Genomic DNA, 21,625 nt, shown 5'->3' on the forward strand with positions numbered 1-21,625 from the left:
TTAGTGTTCATTGTTCCTGCTGGTTATTCTCTTGGCCTAATTATGTGAGGAAAACAGAATGAAGGCAAAGGGATGGGAAGCAAGGGCAATGTGGCTAAAAATATTGATGCTCTTAAGCCATGTGTTCCAAATTTAAAGCAATACATTCATGGTTTTAAAGCTGGAACCTGCAACTAACTTCTAATTAGTCCCTCTTATTTTACAGAGGAGGAAACTGTGGCCTATCCTGCAAAGCACTCTAGCTGATAACTGGTAGCTCTAAGACCAGAAGTCAGGTTCTCTGACTCTCAGTCTAGGGTCCTTTCCAAAACAAACAAGTGCCTCTGAAGGTAAGGTAAAATGACTGGAGTCTTCCTATGCCTGGGGTCTATGCTAAAGAGCCTTAGTTTTTCCTTGAATGGATAGGATGGAATTATTTGAATTATTTTATTAGACCTGCATTATACATTTTTTTAGCATGGCAATTTTCATCAATTCTAATTTCTCAGTTACCAAAATAAAATTTATTAATGCTAAAATCTCCAGTCCTTATCAAAGGGCAAATTAATCAGACTAATAAATTGTTTTTTAACCTCTACTCATTCATCCCTCAACTTTCATATCTTTAACCTATTGAATGACTTACAAATTTTCTATTTCACTCTTGACCTCTTTCCTGAATTTCAGTTTCATATTTCAGTTGCTGCATCTCTACCTGTTTTTACTCCTATGACCTCAAACTCAACATGAAGCCAGCTTCCCTTTCACGTATTCCTATTTTTGTCAATGACACCATCATTCTTCCAGTCATCCAGGTCTGAGATCTTGGCATCATCTCTCTTCTTCTTCTCTTCTAAATCTTGTGGGTTACCAATTTCTGTGGCCTCTTGCTGAAACGTTTAATATTTCTCTCAATTCCATTTCTTCTTTTTTTTTTTTTTTTTTTTTTTTTTTTTTTTTTGAGACAGAGTCTCACTTTCATCCAGGCTGGAGTGCAGTGGCGCGACTGTGGTTCACTTTAGCCTCGACTTCCCCAGCTCAAGCGATTCTCCCACCTCAGCCTCCCGAGTAGCTGGGACTATAGATGTATGCCACCACATCAGGCTAATTTTCTGATTTTTTTGGAGATGAGGTCTCACTGTGTTACCCAGCCAGGTCTCAAGCAATCCTCTCAGCTTGGCCTCCCAAAGTGCTGGGATTACAGGTACCATGCCCAGCCCATTTCTTCTTTTTAATTCCATTTCCTACATCCTAACTCAGGTCCTCATGATCCCACAACCGGGTGGTGACAATATCTACTACTCATCCTGGTTCCATCCTAGCAACCCAACCTACAACTACTGTGGACTACTCTCTCAAAATTACCATTTAAACAGAATCACAAACCCCCATTTCACCCCTTTGATTCTAATTTTTCACAGCTCCCAGTGTCCATGGATAATAAAATTCAAATTCAAAATCCTGAATAATGTTGCCCATGCCCTTGCAACCTCCTCTCACTTTTCCTTCACAGAACCATCCTCCCCAATCAGAAATTTCTTTTCTTCCCAACGCCCACCTCCACCTTTGGCTTAGGCCTGTAACGGACTCTGGCTCCTCTTCTGAATTCTGCTCTGTTAAAATTAGCAACTAGAGCAGCAGACCACGGCCCCTCCTCAAAATTCCAGAGGTACCTACTGATCTTTCTAGAGAGGCAGCCTTCAGACCTATGTTCCCAGAAATCTCTACGTTTGTGCCTTTCCCAACTAGAGAATTAACTCTTGCGGGGCACAAAACAGCCTCTATTTCTTTGCGTCCCCAGCGCCTGTTTGTTGAAGACTGAGTTGAAGGAGTAGCAGGTGGTGTTAATTTGTCAAAAAGATGAGTTAAGGTGCTGGGGGCGAGGGGGAACACCCCCACGGCCCTCCCCCCACAGCAAGGCAGGTGTGTCTGGGGGCCTCGGCGGGTGCCGGGGCGCGGGGCGGATGGTGCCCCCCGGGCGCAGGCCAGGGAGGCCCGAGCGCCTTCCCCACGCCCCGCTCGCCCGCGCGTGTGAGGGGAGGGCGGCCCAGCCGTTTCGCGCCGGGAGGTAGGTGGTGCTGTTGCCGTGACTGTCTTCCTCATTGGCGCCGTGCAGAGAGGCGGAATGTTCAACTCCTAACTGCAGCGGAAACGTGGGAGCCGCGCGGGCCGCTGTCGTCCCAACCCCCGCCGCCCTCGTCGCGCGCGGGGCCTCCGCGCCCCCGGCTGCTGCTCACGCCCCGCCCGGGAGCCAGGTAGGGGTCAGGCTGGAGCCCGCGGAGGGCGGGGAGGGAGGGGGCGAGGCCCGCCGCGCTCGCGAGTCGTCCCTGCGTCTCGGGGCCGAGGCTCCGCCGGAGCCCGGGAGTCTAGGCGGCCTCGGGAGGCTCCTCGGGGCTCCCCTCCCCGACCCAGGGCCCGCCCGGCGGCGGCGGCCGGAGCGAGCGGGCGGGCGAGCGAGCGAGCGTTCGCGGCGCCCGGGAAGTCCTCGCGGGACCTTGGCCGCGGCGCCGCCAAGTGCGGTTCGGGAGAGTTCGGGCCGGTCCCATGGAGAAGTTGGCGCCTGGAGGCGCGGGCGCAGGCCGGAGCGGCCCCGGCTTTCGCGGTCCCGGGCGTGCGGCACGGGCAGGGGCTCCGCGAGCAGCAGAGCCGGCCAAGCAGCGGGTGACTGGGGCACTGTCGGGAGGCGAACCGCGAGGCCCCCAAATCAGGGTAGGGTGCAGGCCACTTCCCAGCACTCGCTGTGCGTGCGAGGAGGGACGACGAACTTCTGCTTTTCTAAGAACTCGACCGCGAGCGGTGTTGCTTCCCATCCATTTTCCTTCATTCTGTTTTCCTCACACAATTAGGCCATGCGAATAACCAGCAGGAACAATGAACACTAAAGATTAGTTTTAAAAACATGCGTAAATGTATCCAGAGCCACCGCTCCCCGCCCTTCCTGCCCCGGGCTTGGGCAGCATGAAGCGCCCGCCCTCTCGGGCTTCCCCCTTTCCTCCCACCGGAGCCGGGGATGTCTCCTTTGGCGACCCTCAGGCAGCGGCTTTTTGTGGGCTCCCAGACCTGCACCAGGCCCAGAAGTGCTTACCCAGGCCGTCGCCTCGTCTGGCCTCGCTTGCCCATGACAGCTTTCAGAAAACTTTAATTCAGGACTGGCTAGATGACATCCGATTGCCTAAAAAATTTTTTTAAAAAGTTATCTCTGTTAGATCGCTGAAAATGTTATGTTTCTGATGCGCTTTGAGATCGCGCATAAGTACTGTTTATGGGGAACTTAATTACTATTTTTGTTAGTTTCTGTAATAATGAAAGCAACACAATTTAGGGGCCCATTCCAAGTATGGTACAGTAAGCAGCTCTCGATACTGGTGTGTGAGAATCGTCTTACAGAGTGAATTTGAGGATGTTTGACTTAAGATTGTTGAAAACTGTACTCCTTCTTTAACCCCGAAGCTGTTTTGGAAGAGCCTTCTTGCTTCCTCGACCTTCGTTGAAATGAACAGCTAGGATTTAGTGGATCCAAACCTCCAAACACGTTTAAAGACAAAAATAAACAAGTGATTCAAGGCTAGTTAATGTCCTCTTTGTAGTAGGCCTATCTCCACAGTGAAATTTCACTTGTTTTTCAATTTTCCAAAAAAAAAAAAAAAAAAAAGTGATGGCTGCATTTTAATTATGGTTATGGTCATTTGTAGAGTCTTTGTTTTAAATTCCTGCTACTATAGTGAGAGATTTAGGAGATTGTAAATGAATACGAATTTAGTTTGGGAAAACAGAATTAAGATAAAGAAAAATGGTCTTTTGGACCACTGCACTGTTTATTTTAATCTATCACAATTTAATTCCTACTATAACTTTTTGAGATTATTTGGGGAGTTTTTTAACTACAAAATATTGTTTAAATAAAAAAATTTAGTGATAATAATTCCAGAGTAAATGACCATGATGCAATTGCAAGGACTTTCTCCGTTGTCTAAAAAAGCAAATAGATGATTGATCCGTTTTTCTTAATCTTTTAGGGAATATATAAGGACACAGTAAAGAGAGAAAAAAAAATCCAAATATTAAACACTCGGACTTGGATCTAAAAATGGATGGTCAAAGATCTTGGGAACTAAGGGGCCTTCTTGCCAAATAAGGAAACTTGGCAAGTTGCACTGTGTATTTTAACTTAGCACAAGAGTGAGTGTTATTGGCAATATATTGGCTCAGAGCCTATCTGGAATGAGCAGTGAAACTGACTTTGATAGGGCTACAAAATTATAAATAGGTTTGTGGGGGCGTGGAGTGAATAATCGAATCATCAGAGAAAACACTGAAAACTTTTCATGAAAATAAGTCAGATGTAAGGTGAAGCTATTAGTGTGGAGTGACAGAGCAAAATGGACAGTTTATTTTAGAAAGTGGTAGATTCAGAAGAGAGGAGAGAATCAGTGGTTTTTTTGTTTTTGTTTTGTTTTTGTTTTTGTTTAAACTGGAAAAAGATGTTTGTGGGGATATAATACTTCTTGGAATAAGATAGCCCTATGTCTGTATCCTGAGATGTTGGAAATAAAAATGAATTTAGATCACTTGTTTTCCATTTTATTCTACCCAGGACAGATTGACAGGGTGAGTATCTTGTCTATCTAAATGTAGTAGGAACAGTTAAGGCACCTTTTGGTCTTACTGCAAGGAAGATTTAGGCTAGTTTTTTGGTAGCTATTAACTTTGCCCCACTAGACACAAATAAGCAGAGTTCCAGCTGTGACCAGAAAATTGTACCTGGTAAGGGAAGAGGACTATGAATGCTAGAGCTTAGATTGATTCGACTGATACATGGGTGCTTTTATGTCAGACCCTCCTACGGATGCTGAAGCATCGTCCTAATAGCTGTTAAGTAATCCCAGCACAGTAGAAGAATCTGTGAGAACAAAGCAGCCCCACATTTGACACCCTAACCCCAGTGTCTTCAATTGTAATAGGAAATTAAAGCCTCAAATTGAACTTTAGGTGGATGGTGAGCAATCCAGTAATTACTGTAATAAGAAAATAGTTTAAATAGGGTAAACAAAAGGCAAATTAGAAGGAGGAGGCAGAATGTTATTAACAAAAAGACATGATATGGTAGAAAACAATGATATGACTTTGGAGTCAGGCCTGAATTTGACACAAGTTGTGTCACCTGTAAGGTAGTTGGCTTGAGCTACTTTCATACCCCTGATCCTCAGTTTTCTCACTCATGTAAGTTAGGAACAGTAGTACCTGCTTCCTAAGGATAAGTACAGTCATGTGTCCATTAATGATGGGGATACGTTCTGAGAGAACTGTGTTGTTACGTGATGTTGTAGTTGTGTAAATACCACAGCGTGCACCTACACAAACCTAGATGCTATAGCCTACTACACACCTAGGCTGTGTGAGATAGTCCGTTGCTCCTAGGCTACAGACCTATGTAGCATGCTGCTATACTGAATAGGCAGTTGTAACACAGTAATAAGTATTTCTATCGAAAAATAGAAAAGGCACAGTAAAAATACAGTATAAAATATACAGTATCAAAGATAAAAAATGGTACACCCGTATAGGGCATTTACCATGAATGGAGGTTGCAGGACTGGAAGTTGTTTGGGGCAAGTCAGTGAGTGAGTGGTGAGGGAATGTGAAGGCCCAGGACATCACTGTACACTACTGTAGACTTTATAAACACTGTACACTTAGGCTCTACTAGATTTATTTAAACATTTTTCTTCAATAATAAATTAACCTTAGCTTGCTGTAACTTTCTTGTTTTATAAACTTTAAACTTTTTTTTAACTTTTTGAGTCTTTTGAAATAACACTTAGCTTAAAACACAAACACATTGTACAGCTATACAAAAATTCTTTATATCCTTATTCTGTAAGATTTTTTTTCTATTTTTAAATTTAAAAAAAAATTTGTTTTGCTTCTTAAACTTTGTTAAAAACTAAGACAGAAACACACACATCAGCCTAGCCCCACATGGGGTTAGGATCGTCAATATCACTGTTTTCTACCTCCACATCTTGGCTCACTGGAAGGTCTTCAGGGGCAGTAATGTATATGGAGCTGCCATCTCCCCATCTCCAGTGATAACAATGCCTTCTTCTGGACACCTCCTGAAGGACCTGCCTCAGTTAATTTTCTTTTTTTTTTTTTTAAGTGGAAAGAGTATGCTCTAAAATGAGGATAAAAAGTATAGTAAATACATAAATGAGTAACACAGTCATTATCCTTATCAAGCATTGTGCACTGTACATAATTGTATGTGCCGTACCTTTATACAGCTGGCAGCATAATAAGTTTGTTTACACCAGCATCACCACAAACACATGAGTAATGCATTGTGCTATGATGTTAGGAAACTGTGCCATCACTCAGCAATAGGAATTTTTCAGCTTTATTACAATCTTATGGGATCGCTGTTATATATGCAGTCCATTGTTGACTAAAGCATAGTTATGTGGTGCATGACTTTATGAGAAAGCACATAGAAATGCTTGTAACAGTGCCTGAAATTTCAGCCACTGTATCAATGTGGTAAAGAAGGATGTTTTACTACATCTCTCAAGTTATACGCAGAGCTGCTTGCCCACTGTCCTAGTCTGTTTTCTGCTGCTAGAGCAGTCTGTCACAGCCTGGGTAATTTACAAGGAACAAGGGTAATTTATTTGGCTCATGGTTCTGGAGCCTGGGAAGTCCAGGTACATGGCTCTGGCATCTGGCGAGAATCACCCATTGTGGAAGGGTGGAAGGCGAAAGCAAGCCATGAAAGACAAAGAGAAAAAGTGAACTCCTGAGATAATTAACCTACTCCCAGGATAACAGTGAGAATCCATTTATGACCTAATCACCTCTTAAAGGTTCTGCTTCCCAGTACTGTTACATTAGCGATTAAGTAATTAAGTTTCAACATGAATTTTGGTGGGAGCATTCCTACCATAGCACTCAGCTCTTCCAGCTAAGGCTTGCCTTTGGTACCCTGTCCTGTTCCCAAGTTATACTTATGTAGTGGGTATGTAGGTTTTCATAACTACTCTCCTGCTTTGAGTATAAGTGTTTCTAAAGTGTGCTTTAGAACCACTTGGAACCATTTTTATAGCTAATTTTGAGCAAGGCCCCAATACCCTTCTTTCTGGACTCATCTCCAGGCTTCCATTTAAGAAAACCAAAAAGAAAAGGAAAGAATTGCTGTCTGCACGTCATGTAATAAATCTTTACTTATTAAACTTTTCTACCAAAGTACTCTATTGTGGGGATAAATGAATGTTTTCCTTCAAGAATTTGTCCGTATAGCCACAGATACCCCAATGCAAGCAAGTACTTGCTTTAAAATTTTATATTTAATCTTAAAAATTTATGTGGATTTTGCATTCTCTTCTGTCCTACACTGTTTTACTTAAATTGAACAAATCGATACAGACACATATTTTAAAAAAGACAAATTTTTTTTTTTTTTTTTTTTAGAAACAGAGTCTTGCTATGTTGTCCAGGCTGGCCTTGAACTCCTGTGCTCTAGCAATCCTCCCACCTGAACTTTCCCTGTAGCTGGGGCTGAGGGTATGTGCTACCTTGCCTGGCTTATTCCCCATAGTGTTAAAGTGAAATTGATGCTGTAGGACAGCTGTTTATTCATATCACCTTCTGCACAGTACTGTGTAATACCACGTATGGGAATAAGCACACGAGGAACATGGGATTGGTCCTAATAAAGAGTCCTGCACCATTAAGCTCTGCAGCCCAATACTGCATGGGGTAGTGCAATTCCATTTTGCTGATAAAAGAATAGGGGTAGATCATCATCCAAAGAGTTTTGATGTTAGGTGGTTATACGATGGCTTTCAAGACAAAGAGATCTCTTTGCTTTGGGAATTGGGGGGAAGGAAGAGGAAAGTTTTAGGATAGAAACCTGGAATGTGGCTCTTAGCTTCTCACCCAGTTTGGGAGGAGAAATTGAAGAAGATGGCCAAATCGTTTCCTTTATTTCCATCACTGATGTGGTTCACTGTGCTTCTCCATGATGTTTGGTGTCGGGTTCATGACTGCTTCCCTCAGAAAAGGAGGGAGACCGTCTATACTTTATAGTAGATTAGTCATCAACTCAACAGGGTTGGAGTGGGTCTTAAAGTGGTTTCATTCTGCCCTCTTAGCTGATGCAAGAGTCTCCCACTCCCACTCTACACCGCATATCCCATTGAACGCTCTTGGTGATGGGTCACTCACTACTAAAGAGGGTGGCAGATTTTCTTGTTGGCCAACTCTAAACCAGGAATCCTTTGTTTTTTTTTTGGAGACAGGGTCTCACTTTGTGCAGTGGCATAATCATAGCTTATGGCAACCTTGAACTCTTGGGCCCAAGCTATCCTCCCACCTCAGTCTCTTGAGTAGCAGGGACTACAGGCATGAACCACCACACCTGGCTAATTTTTATTTATTCATTTTTTGTACAGATGGGATCTCACTATGCTGCCCAAGTTGGTCTTAAATGCCTGACCTCAAGCGATACTCCCACTTTGGCCTCCCAAAGAACCAGAAATTCTTTCTGTAACTTTCATCCACAGATAGCCTTGCCTCTTGATCATCAAAACATAATATAAGGTCTTAGTCTTCCCTAGTTTTACCATCCCCATTCCTTTCACCCTTCATCTTACATTGAGGTTACCATGTTTTAACTCTTGCATTCACCCTTCTCAGGGAGTATTCATTCCAGGCACTCAGTCCAAAGTTGTACCTGTCTGTCAGCAGCCAGGATGGTCTGATACTTTCTATTTGACAGAAAACGATTTGGGGTACAAACAAGGGCTGAGTAGCAGCAAGACCTAGGGTGGGGGCAGGATAGGTGGGAGGTAGCGAACTGAAGTGAGCCTTGTTTACTCATAGGCTACGGCTTTCTCCTCATCCCCAGTCCTGACACCTGTGAATTCCTCTTCTGGCCAAGCCCTAGAAATCTCCCCTCTCCGTGCACCCTCACTTTATTCAACTCTGGCCCCATTCTCTTCCTCATGCTGCAAGAAGCTCCCAGCTACTCAACACAACAAGCCCACGCAGCGGCCTATGCCGTGGCCGTAGGTTGTATCCACTTCATGTTTCCTTGTTGGGCTTCTGTTTGAGCACAGACATGTTTCCACGCAGCATTTCTGTGGCGTTAAGTGCTCCCACCAACTACATTCCTGTGCCTCCCATCTTTTACTTCTGGTAACAATACTTTTGGTAAGGAAGTGTGTTGTGGAAGTTGACTTTTATTAAATTACTTTAATTATTTCAATAAGAATGCCTCACTACTAAATTACTTTAATATTTCAATAAGAATGTTTAGCTTATTTTTATTCTTACCATTGCTCTAACTAGAGAGTTACATTACTTTTATATGGTAAAGATAGAGGAAGGGGGAAAATATGAAACAATGGCTATTCTGTTTTTTGGATTCTTATTTAAAGTTGGGTTCTCTCAGATATCTATGCCTGAAGTCCTATTTACTGAACCCAACCTACTCTGTATAAGATACACTATTTTTCTAGGAGCAGCCTTGGAGGAAGAAAGGAAATATCTGGTAGATACAGTACAAGTTGGTTCTGTTCCTATACCTAGTCTTGCAACTTTTATTTTTTTATTTTTTATTTTTTTTTTTTGAGACAGAGTCTCACTGTCACCCAGGCTGGAGTGCAGTGGCGTAATCATAGCTCACTGCAGCCTCGACCTCCTGGGCTCAAGCGATCCTCCTGCCTCAGCCTTGCAGAGTGCTGGGATTACAGGTGTGAGCCACTGTACCCAGCCAGCTTTTATCTTTTTTAGTGATTAAAAAAAAATAGTAGAACAGCAGTCCTGTTGAGGAATAGAATCTTTGAATCTTTGACCTTGGTGTTACGGACAAATACACTGAACCAGAGCTTTCCTCATTTTTTTGAAGATAAGACTCAGGGGAAAAAAATTGCAGAACAGTGATTCCAAGTGGTGTTCTTTTTATACACATGATGACAAAGCACATATTATTAATTTATTCACTGATCTATGTTAAAGAGGCTGAAATAATACTAGCATAAATATCAAGGCAGCAAGTTTGGCAAAATAATTTGCTGAATATTGAAAGCTCTTTTCAAAAAGTATCTTTTTTGTCACATCCAGGTCATGATAAAACGTGTAAGTTTTTCTTCCTATATTGTATAAAAAGTAAACTGGCAACCTTACTTTTTGAAGAAGGGGGAAAGGAAAGTATGAATTAGGGACAGGAAAAGAGGAAGGCTCTAAATTCAGAAATATAGGCCCATATAAAACCACAAGATAGAAACATCCAGAGAAAGTTCAAAGACCTTTTTTCTAGTAAAGTTAATCCTTTCATAAAGTAGGTTTTTATTTTTACTTTTAGAAATGAGATCTCCCTATGTTGCCCCAGCTGAGCTCAAGTGATCCTCCAACCTCTGCTTCCCAAAATGCTGGGATTGCAGGTGTGAGCCACTGTGCCCGGCCAAAGTAGATTTAATTTTTTTTAAAAAATCATCACTTGCAGGTATTGGATAATCAGGTTAAGTTTTCTTGGGTTAGACGTGCAATTGACTGTGCAGCAGATAATGTCTGAAAGAAGACCGTGGTCACTGGGGAAGGAGGGGATGCTCCAGCACCCTACCAAAGTGAGTGCTATCATTGAATAAATAGATCTTAGCAATGCTAATGTCCAAAAAGTGCAAAAAAAAAAAAAGAAAAGTATTGTGTTTTAGCAATTTAAATACATTATGAAAAAAGCTTAAAAGAAATTATAATTACTTACTAATAAGATCTTTCAGAAATGACAAAAACCAAAAACGGCAGTTAAACAGAGGAATGAGAAAGAATTAGAAAATAGGCAAAGAGAGGGAAAGGATTCAGGGATCAATAGCACCTTTATTTGTTAATAATTGCTCTACAAAACTAAGAGATATAATATAAAACAATTCTGAAAATGGGGAGAGGAAAGCTATTGAGAGCATACCTGACCATAAAAACTGAAGGAATAGATGGCTAAATATGATATCAAGGGTTATTAAAATAATGAGAAAACCATAATTTCCATTAATTGCATGTATACCATATACTAGGCACTGTGCTCACGTATGCACTTTCACAGCACTGGTATTATTGCCAGTGAGAACAGTGAGGTCAGAGAGACACAGTGCCTTGCCCAAGTAGCTAATAACAGATCTGCTCATAGATCTCTCTAGTAGGGGTCTTTACCCTGAATCATGCTACTTCCCTGTTGAAATATCTCTTATTTGGAAGTGAGATGTATCAATGAAGTCAAATACTATGCAAACTTGATAACTTTGGGGCTATCAGTTTTGTGACATTGAATGGAAAAGATTTGAAATTTTTTATTTATGCATCTGGAAATGCCACAGTCTGAGAAAAAGTGATTTGTTAAAGTTACCGAGAGGTGGAGGGAGAGTTCAAACTCCTATCAATCTAATTCTAAAACCTTGCTTTTTAACATTAGAACTGTAGTGGGGTCATTTTTGTTTTTAATTTGGGGCAAAAGTAACAGTGAAAAGGTAAATGACTTATTTGAGGTCAACATGGATCTGAAAAATCAAGAAGCAAAATAGAAGGTCTGTGAATAGAGAAACTTAAGTCTATTTTTTTGGACTAGAAGATTGAAAACTTTAAAAAGTAAAATAATTCTTTAAGATTTCCTACCTTCTTATGTTTCCACTTTTCATAATTAGGTGATGCTGCTATATATGCTTTCAGCAATTTGGTTAATAGTTAAATGTTTTTGAATTTTAATTTAAGGAAAACTTTAAATTAAAAATTTTTTGACATTCTACTCAAGTAGTGAAATGATTGGATTCAACCACCAAATTATTGATTTTCAACATTTACAGAGTTGTGATGCCTTATTTTACTTTGATTTTTGTGACATTTCTGCTCTAACTTACCCTTCAGTATTGTATGGTAGATACTTAACATTTAAAACAGCTTTGAGAGTTTATAAAACAACAGTTAGAATCCTACAAAACTAAAACTGAGCATTGTTGCGTGGAGCAAAATTGCCTTTTTTGTGTAAAAGCAATTTTTTTTTTTTTTTTTTTTTTTTTTTTTGAGATAGAGCCTTGCTCTGTTGTCCAGGCTGGAGTGCAGTGGTGCGATCTTGGCTCACAGTAACCTCTGCCTCTACGGTTCGAGCAATTCTCCTGCCTCAACCTCCCAGGTAGCTGTGATTACAGATGCACGCCACCATGCCTGGCTAATTTTTGCATTTTTAGTAGAGATGGGGTTTTGCCATGTTGACCAGGCTGGTCTCGAACTCCTGACCTCAAGTGATCCACCCATCTCGGCTTCCCAAAGTGCTGGGACTATAGGCGTGAGCCACCGTGCCTGGCCAAAACAATTCTTTTAATGCAGTGAGATGAAAACGTTGGATTTGATTTGATATACCATGTAAATAAATTTATATAGATGACTTTTTATTAAATTCTGGTATATTCATTAAGTGGAGAATACATTTGAAAAATTAGAACATAATTTAATCAAGTAGCAGTCTTCCCCAACACGCTTTAAATATAAATAACTAGCACTCAGATTTTTCATTCTTCTCGTCATAAATTGATCCCCTTAGAAAAATGATTCTTAAAGGAGAGAAAACTCAAGGGGAAAAAATATATATATGGTTTAACTTTCATGTATATGGGAGTGGAAATCTCAACCAAGTTTTTCAGCTACATCCATGATGCTTTGCCAAGCTCACTGGAGTTAAACCTGTACTCACATACCCTAGATTACTAGTTTATTCGGTATTCAGATGGAACTTAATTTTTTATGGTTTCAATAAAACATTCAAGTAATTGGATAGTTCCATTCACAACTAGCCAGTTCCCAAAATGGCATGGTGTATCACAAAATAGCAGTGATTCTGTGAAGAACCTGGCTAGTTGCCTCCTGTCAAGTGGTGAAATCCTGGAGAAGTGTGCTTCTCAAAGGTCAGCCTTTTTCTGGCACCCTTAGGTCAGTGTCAGTTGTGACTGATCCTGTCTCAGTTCATCCACATTCCCTGGGCTTGTTCTGCAGCATAAGGCTTACATGAATTCATACTGATCTCATCCTGCTTCAGACCTCTGCCTTTGTTTTGGAAAGGATTTCTCTACTCCTCCTTCTTCCCTGACCCTGGGATTCAGAGGGACCCAGTACTGAAAGTCCCAAATACACTCTCCGAAGAAGCCTAGGCAGCAGTTTCCAAATCAGGATTTGCTTCAGAACCCTCCGGGGCACTTGTAAAAATTACACACCTTAAGTTTTACATGACTTGGTTGAAACCTTTCCAGCTACAAAAGGTATAATGGAAGAATAACCAGAAGCTATTTACTCACTTATTCAACAAATGCTTTTTTAATGGAAAAGCTGCCTAACTGTGTACTTGGCTGTGTAGTAGGTGCTGAGGATCCAGATGTAAACAGAACTGAGTTTTGACTTTAGGGAATTTATAGTCTGGTGGGAATTAAGTGGGAAAGATAAATGGGTAAAGAAAGGTGCTGTGGCACATGAGAGGGAGAATTCAGCTGTGCTCAGGAGACTCAAAGAGGTGGTCAGGGATAGGAGTTTGCTGTGCAGAGAAAAGTATTTGAAGCAGAGACACTAGCCTGTGTAGAAATGTGGAGATGTGAGAGGTCAGTGTATATTGGGAAGTGCAGGCAGTTCCTCGTGTGTGTATGGGAAATGAGATGACATGAAGTCAAAGTGGCTATAAGTGGTAAATGAATAACACAAGAAACTTTCTTGGAATTAGAATACATGAGTTACAGATAGAAAGAGTTCACTGAGTGTCCTACCAATGAATGAAAAAGACTCATTCCTAAACATATCCTATTAAAATTCAGGATTCCTGGGATCAATAGAGGATCCTAAAAGCTTTCAGAGAGGAAAAAATAATATAAAAATGGTTAATAATCAGTAACATCAGACTGCTCAGTAGCCACATTAGAAACTAGGAGAAAATGAAGTAATACTTTCAAAATTATATGGAAAATCATTTCCTACCTAGAATTGTATGCCCAACCAGGCTACCAATCAAGACATTTTAAGATATACAGATTCTCAAAAAATTCTATTCTGTGTGTTCTATTCAGGTAACTAATGGGAGATATGTGTGTCATCAAAACAAGGGAGTAAACCAAGAAAGGGAAGATGCGAAATCCAAAGACAAGGTTCTCACAGAGGAAAAAGGTGAAGGAAATTCTTAGGATGGTAGCCAACAGGAGTCCCAGTCCAAGTCAGGCCTAGAGAGCAACCATTCCAGCCAGACTGAATCAGGATGAAGGGCCTAGAAGGAGTGTCTCTAAAAACAATAGAACCAAAGAGTGAAAAAAAAGAGAAATTACTTGTTTTAATTTTATTGAGAGGAGTTTTGCAGCTCGTGGGAGAGATTAATGGGGGGAATGTGTTAGGAGTGTAAAAAGCTAAGCAAACAACAACAAAAAAGCAAAAACAGGGCAACTGATAACTCTAAGAGAATCCAAACGTTATCCAAGAAAGGAAATGTAATTATTGAATCCTACATGGCACTGCTGGGAATAATGTTTACTTTGTTGGATTACTGTAAACACTGACTATTGACTTAACCAAATGTTACAGTACGGTTGGAAGCTGGGAGGTTTGGGCAAGTATGCCATGCTTGCATGCATGGAGGTAGAGGGTGATATATGAGAACTAAATTCTTGTCTTCCACAGAAGTTAATAGATAATATCTAAAATGGAAAATCAAGAAATAGTAATATAAGCACATTCTTTAGAAATACAGAGTTCAGTGCCAGAAGAAAATGCTAAAGGAGTTGAAATTAGTTGCGTCTAGAGAGTGGGAATTGGGTATGGGGAATGGGGAGACAGGAAACTTCTATTTTTTATGATAAGCTTTGTAGTTCAATTTCATTTTAATGCTTTTATAAAAATAATTAACAAAAATGTAAACCTAGTGTCTGTAATGCTGAGGGAACCTTGCAAATGGTGTTTGACATTTGGTTGAACAAACTTTTTAGCTTGCATACTCTATATACCTACCCTTGGCAACATTCCTGAATTTTATACAAATTTTGTTCTTTTCCATGTTTAACTAAATAGGAATTACAAAAAAGTTGGTAACATAAACTGTTGATTCACATATGTTTATAGACTATATTTGGATACTATGATCTTTCCCTCACTCATATTTTTATGTGGAGTGTATCTTCTAAACTTTAGAGGATGAACAAATAACCCTTCCTCTTTCTCGCCTTCTCCCCAAAGTAGAGCAGCGTTTGACTTCATGTGAGAAATCAGCATTCTTCAGTGACCTGATTTTCCTGAAATGGGATGGCTAGCCAGCTGCATGCTAAGATCTTTGAGCTGCCTGTGCACTTCACTCAGCAGAGCCCCAGGCTTTTTATGGAGAAATGTTGCCAGTTTATATGGATACAAACCAACCCCTTCTACCTTTTTATTTAAAAAAAAAAAACTCACAGAAGAATGGAAAGAGTAGTAAAATGTCCAGATACCTGTCACCTAGATGTGCCAGTTCTTAACGTTTTGGCACACTTGCTTTCTCTCTCCCTCTCTCTATTCCTATGTACTTTTTTGGATGTGTGTGTCGGGGGACAGGGATGAGGACTGAACCATTTTAAAGTAAATTATAGACATCATACTTTAAAATGGCTACATGCATTTCCCAAGCAATACATCCAAGGACATCCATCTATAAAGCAAAAATACCATTATTTGCCATGGATAAAATAATATCATCTAATTTATAGTTAATATTTAGATTTCTCTAATATCCCAATAATATTTTCTATAGATTTTTTTATCCAGAATCCAGTGATCATAAATTATATGTAGTCATCGTGTTTCCCTTTTTTTTTTTGAGATGGAGTCTCGCTCTGTTGCCCAGGCTGGAGTGCAGTGGCACTATCTCAGCTCACTGCAACCTCCACCTCCTGGGTTCAGGGAATTCTCATGTCTCAGCCTCCCAAGAGCTGGAATTACAGGTGTCTGCCACCACACCTGGCTAATTTTTGTATGCTTAGGGTTTTGTCATGTTGGCCAGGCTGGTCTCGAACTCCTGACCTCAAGAGATCCACCTGCCTCGGCCTCCCAAAGTACTGGGATTACAGGCGTGAGCCACCACATCCAGCCTAGTCATTGTGTTTAAGTTTTCCTTATGCTAGAAGTTTTTCTGCAAAAAACAAACAAAAAAAAACTTTCATGACATTCATAATTACAAGGAGCCTAGGCCAGATGTTTTGTAGAATGTCCTAGAAATATAGATTTGTCCCTCTTAAGGTTTTGGTTTATACTTTTTGCAAGAATAGTATAAACCACATAAAATAGTACACATGGGATAAAATAGTACACAAACTTTTTTATCCACTAATTTTAAGCATTTTATGTAGGTTCAAAATTTTAACCCAATTTTAGTCCAGTTTTTGTGTTTGTAAGTCTCACTAATCTATGGTTTGGCATACAGTGTTAACAATGGCCACTTACCTGGAGAATAGTAAAACTCCTTAGACTGTAGGAAAGATCACTAGAATAATCTCTGGGAGGGGTAATACGTTTCTTTGGAAACAAGCATAATATTTTTTAACGTCCTTGGCAGTATTCTTTCGATGACTTAATATATTGTAATCAAGGGCAAATTTTTTCTACTCTTTAAGTTTTGTTACAGTATACAGTCCAGAGAGCCACTTCTGGCAAACAGTCCAGCTTTTCTGTCATCCCTAACCTGAAAGTTTGTTTTTGGAGTCAACGTTTATTGTGTGTTCAGTTTGCAGCCGTTTGGCTGTCTGTGTACCAGGATGCTCGGTGGCTTAGGTTGTGTATATTTTGTGTGAAGTGAGTGCAGCGTGGAGAGGTGGCATGCCTCAGATGCCAGGGGAGCTATGCAAGCTTGCTGTGGAAAGCATGCTTCCCGTCTGTCAGGGCTTCCTGAGAGGAGACCTGGTGACACAGTAGCCTTTCGGCAGAGCTCCTTGGGATGAGTAGGAAGTGCTGCTGCAGGTTTTGTCTGGGGGATATCTGAGCCATTTCTCTGTGGGCAGCTGTGTTTCAAAGTCTGGGCAGGTTGTTGTTGAATTTTGCGTGGGCTGCCAGGGTGAGTGTTTTCGAATTGTTTATAATCTTGCTTTTCTTCTTCCTAAGTCACCGTGACTTTCTGGAAGTTTCACAGGACTCGTTCATGATATATTATCTAAAGTAGGATTCAGAGGATTTAGCCTAATATATTTGTAATTCAGCTTTTCTTTTTCTTTCTTTCTGCAGATTTTGTGGAAGTATAATACTTTGTCATTATGAGATGTCGTCTCTCGGTGCCTCCTTTGTGCAAATTAAATTTGATGACTTGCAGTTTTTTGAAAACTGCGGTGGAGGAAGTTTTGGGAGTGTTTATCGAGCCAAATGGATATCACAGGACAAGGAGGTGGCTGTAAAGAAGCTCCTCAAAATAGAGAAAGAGGTAAGGTCTTTTCCAGCTGACAGAAACAGTCACGATACCATTTATGTAAGCTTTTTCAACCTCGAGTTAGAGGGTCACAGGGCTGCAAGAGACCTAGCAAGGCCTTTGGGACTGATCCACGAGGCCGTTTCCCAATTTCCATTCTGGGAGCCCCATAAATAGAAATTATTGCAGCGTGTGCTTTAGGGTTGAGTTCTACTAGGGGTCAGCTGAAGTAAGAGGATTTCTTTCCAGGGCATGAAAGACCAAATGTTCTCTGAGCTCTCCTGGAGGCAGAGGTGAGATTTTAGACCTTCCCAGGGTTCAAGCTTTTCTCTTCCCTGGGCAGCCAAGAGGGGTCGGTAAAGAGTAATGTGTGAAGTTTTTATACCCTTTCCATTTTCTCTGCTTGAACTTCTGGTCATCAGCAGTTGTCTTTTAAAAGATAAGACACTGTTTTTTTTAACTGAAATATGCAGTACCTGTTTCTTGGATTTCACCTCTACTTAAGGCTAACAGTGATGGTCTTTGTATTATATAGAATTAATAGGTGCCAGACAGAGAGCTGTCCTCCTAGTAAAATCAGAAAAGGGTCTTGGCTTTCAGAGCCTGGGATTTGTGCTGGTCCTAGTTGAGCTCAGAGTTCTTAGAACTGTCATCCTTCTCAGGAATGAGATATAACATGGTTGTCACATTCAGTTTGGTACCATGAGAATAAAAGTAATTACAGAGCTGACCTGCAGGGACTCAGCAGCATTGATAACTTCAGCAGCGACCCTCTGGAGCTGGTTTTGGTCATTTCTATTTACGCCCTGTTTTGGCAAATTATTGTTCAATATCTTTTTAAAGTGAACTTTCCCATAAATATCCTTTAATCTCCCTGAATGATTTCATTTTTTTCATTAACTGCTGCCAGTGAACCATAGCAATTGATTAGAGAAGGAAACCCAAATGGTAGCACTTTGTGAGTTTCCTCCCAGCGGTGCTGTGTAATTGTGTGATCACCAGCTGTGTTTCCAATTGTTGAAGCCAGGTTAGAAGGACTGAGAGATCTCTGCCTTGGGGAATCTATAGGTTTTTGGAAGACATTAAGAAAGGAGAGCTTTTAAAGCCCATCCGTACACAAAACAGAAAGGTACTGGGTATGAGAAAGTCACTTTCCCTTTCCCCCATTTCTCAATCAATAAAAATTTTTAATGGTAGCCAAGTAATAAATCCATGTCTTACCTTGGACTGAACCTAGCCCTTTTAGCTGATCAATTCTTTAAGTCCTTTATAGGAAGCATTATTGTCCCCATTTTATGGATTGGGAAATAGAGCTTTGCGAAATGTATTAAGCTGCCCCAGGAGGGGCAAATGAAATCCAGGAGGCTAGAACCCCTGTTCTTTAGTTTTTGACTCTGAAACCTCTAATTGACCAGGTACGAAGAGAAAACTAAACCTGCTCCATCCATTTATAGTCAGTTATTTATATATATGCTAATATTTTAGCTTTAGATTGTACAACTTTAGTAAAAGGAACATGTTCTTATATGATTGTTCGATGTGAAAAAGATTTTATGAGACATGAAACAGATTTTGATAGGAAAATATTAATTGTAACCCGTTCACTCCACTCCCCCCTCCCCAAGGATACCTACATAATACCTTTTCTTCTATTCTTGGGAGAGCCAGGAAAATGACATAGGAAAGTGCAGGAGTGAAAGCAGGAATTGGAAACTGCCAAATCCTGCTTTCGTGCAGGTATTTAACATGAATGTAGGTAATTCAGAAATTGAGTTGATTCCAGTAAACTGTAAGAGCATAACTCATAAACCTGTAGGTAGGAAAAACAAAACCTCCACTTTTGCTTTGGGGCTTAGTCAGTGATTATGAGTGATAAAGAGACACAGTAAATTATGGCAAAGAACCCCTATTTGTACTGGAATAACATGAGTTTAAGACATAAAAAGTTATGGCGAGGAGTTGACAGTTACTAGCAAGGAAATATACATTTCTTATGTAAATAATTGTTATGCTTTATGAAATGTGTGTTGGCTTCTGGCTAGGTGTTTTCTAAGTGATAAGATAAAGGTAATAAGCCCTGGATTTTTTCCAAATTTATAGATCCAGTTCCATGTCACTTGGTTGTTTTTTGCCAATGAGTTTTAGAAGCAATGGAACACTTAATAAAATGTTCGCAGCTCATTTCATGTGACTCTTTAAGAATGACTTAATATTAGACTAAATATATGTTCTATAAACTTAGCAAAATGTAGAGAAAATATATACCAAACTCTAACTTTGTTTATGTGAGAGGAGAAAGGAAGACTATTTACTTTCACTTTATTTGCAGACCTCTAGTGTAGTGAGTATGTACTACTTTTCTCTGTTTTAGTGGGTATACTACTACTTTATTTAAAAACAAAAAAGAAAGACTGTATTTACTTAAAATCTCTGTAGTTCTTTAAAACTTTATTTAAAAAAATTTTTATATACCCAAAGGACTATAAATCATGCTGCTATAAAGACACATGCACACGTATGTTTATTGCAGCATTATTCACAATAGCAGAGACTTGGAACCAACCCAAATGTCCAACAATGATAGACTGGATTAAGAAAATGTGGCACATATACACCATGGAATACTATGCAGCCATAAAAATGATGAGTTCATGTCCTTTGTAGGGACAAGGATGAAATTGGAAATCATCATTCTCAGTAAACTATCGCAAGAACAAAAAACCAAACACCACATATTCTCACTCATATGTGGGAATTGAACAATGAGATCACATGGACACAGGAAGGGGAACATCACACTCTGGGGACTGTTGTGGGGTGGGGGGAGGGGGGAGGGATAGCACTGGGAGATATACCTAATGCTAGATGACGAGTTAGTGGGTGCAGCACACCAGCATGGCACGTGTATACATATGTAACTAACCTGCACAATGTGCACATGTACCCTAAAACTTAAAGTATAATAAAAAAAAATTTTTTTAAACCTAGAGAACAATTAAAAGAATACTACTATGAACTCTAGTACGTTTTATTCTTCCCCTACACTCACCATTTAGTAACATTTTACATTTGCTTTTTCTCTATATGTTATTGATTTATATGTATTCATATATATTGTATGATTTTTGCTGAACGATGAGAGTACATTACAGATGCCATGTACCTTTATCCCTAAATACTTCAGCATCTCCCAAAACACAACCACAGTACAATTAACAAATTCAAAAAATGTAACAATGATAACAATAATGTTACTTGTTATACAGTCTATATTCACATTTTGCCAACTTTTGCAATGCGAGCTTTTGATGGCAATTTTTCCAACCCAGGATCCAATCCAGGATCGTATATTGCATATAATCGACATGTCTGTTTAGCCCGGCTTAATCTGGAACAGTTTCTCTGCCTTTCTCTGTCTTTTAAGACGTAGACATTTTGGAAAAGTATAGGATAAGTGTTTTGTATAATGTCCCTCATTTGGGGTTTATGTGATTTCCTCCCCAGCCCCCAGCCTAGTCAGAGTTTATGTAGTTTTGGCAGGAAAACTACATAGGTTGTGTGTCCTTGGTGTGTCTTAATGGGTGTCTTGTGATGTTGGTTAGTCTCATTATTGATGATGTTAGTTTTGAATGCTTAGTTAAGAGGGGTTTACCCAATTTCTCCACAGTACAAGAAAATACCTATTTTTCCTTTGTAATTAATAATTAAGCTATTGGTAGATACTTTGAAGCTAAGTAAATATCTTTCCTCAGCAAACATTTACTAATGTTTTTAGCATCTATTGATGATTCTTGTTTGGATCAAATAGTACTATAACAGTTTACTGTGCAGAAAGTAAAAAGTTCTAGCATAAGTGAGTTTGCCCTTATTTTTTCCTTTCTTCCTTTAGTCAACCATTCATTCATGTATTTATTGTTTGATCGTATACTTAAAGACTTTTTGGAATTCAGAATGTTATAATCCATTAGTGTTATTCATTTTCATGCTTAAACTATCCCAAATTTAGCAAGTAAGAGCTCTTTCCAGCTGGCTCTTGTGTCCTTTTGGTATGTCGCTGTCATTTTTTTATGATTTTCTTACTTCAGGCACAAAAAGATGTACTAGGCTCATCTAGTTCCTGTCTCATTCCTGGAGTCAGCCATGTTTTTGAGAAGCCCTGAGTCAATATACCTGATTTTGGAGTATATTATTTAGGAACCAAGATTTGGGTACTAGGAT

The 21,625-nt window shown here is 40.0% G+C and overlaps 1 protein-coding gene across 8 annotated transcripts in view, besides 2 other annotated features; it reads left to right on the top strand.

The window, feature by feature from the left end:
- Positions 1,749-21,625, top strand: part of MAP3K20 (mitogen-activated protein kinase kinase kinase 20) — a 192,499-nt gene continuing 172,622 nt past the window's right edge. For 2 of the 8 annotated variants that reach the window (XM_047444746.1, XM_017004324.2), the window contains exons 1-2: positions 1,749-1,902; positions 17,230-17,422. In XM_047444746.1, coding sequence (XP_047300702.1) covers positions 17,264-17,422 — 159 coding nt within the window. In that variant the 5' untranslated portion in view covers positions 1,749-1,902; positions 17,230-17,263. Of the gene's footprint in view, positions 1,903-2,077; positions 2,235-2,302; positions 2,689-16,921; positions 17,063-17,229; positions 17,423-21,625 lie in introns of those variants that run through there. The other 6 variants (NM_016653.3, NM_133646.3, XM_047444747.1 and 3 more) reach the window with 3 other exon arrangements.
- Positions 1,773-1,822: a silencer, noted in NCBI's record as "silent region_12112". NCBI's record gives its function as "represses an Ori minimal core promoter by ATAC-STARR-seq in GM12878 lymphoblastoid cells {active_cell/tissue: GM12878}" and the evidence as "EXISTENCE:reporter gene assay evidence [ECO:0000049][PMID:35858748]".
- Positions 1,903-2,642: a silencer, noted in NCBI's record as "silent region_12113". NCBI's record gives its function as "represses an Ori minimal core promoter by ATAC-STARR-seq in GM12878 lymphoblastoid cells {active_cell/tissue: GM12878}" and the evidence as "EXISTENCE:reporter gene assay evidence [ECO:0000049][PMID:35858748]".

Source organism: Homo sapiens, chromosome 2 (assembly GCF_000001405.40).
Source record: "Homo sapiens chromosome 2, GRCh38.p14 Primary Assembly".
In the NCBI taxonomy this organism is placed as follows: Eukaryota; Metazoa; Chordata; class Mammalia; order Primates; family Hominidae; genus Homo; species Homo sapiens.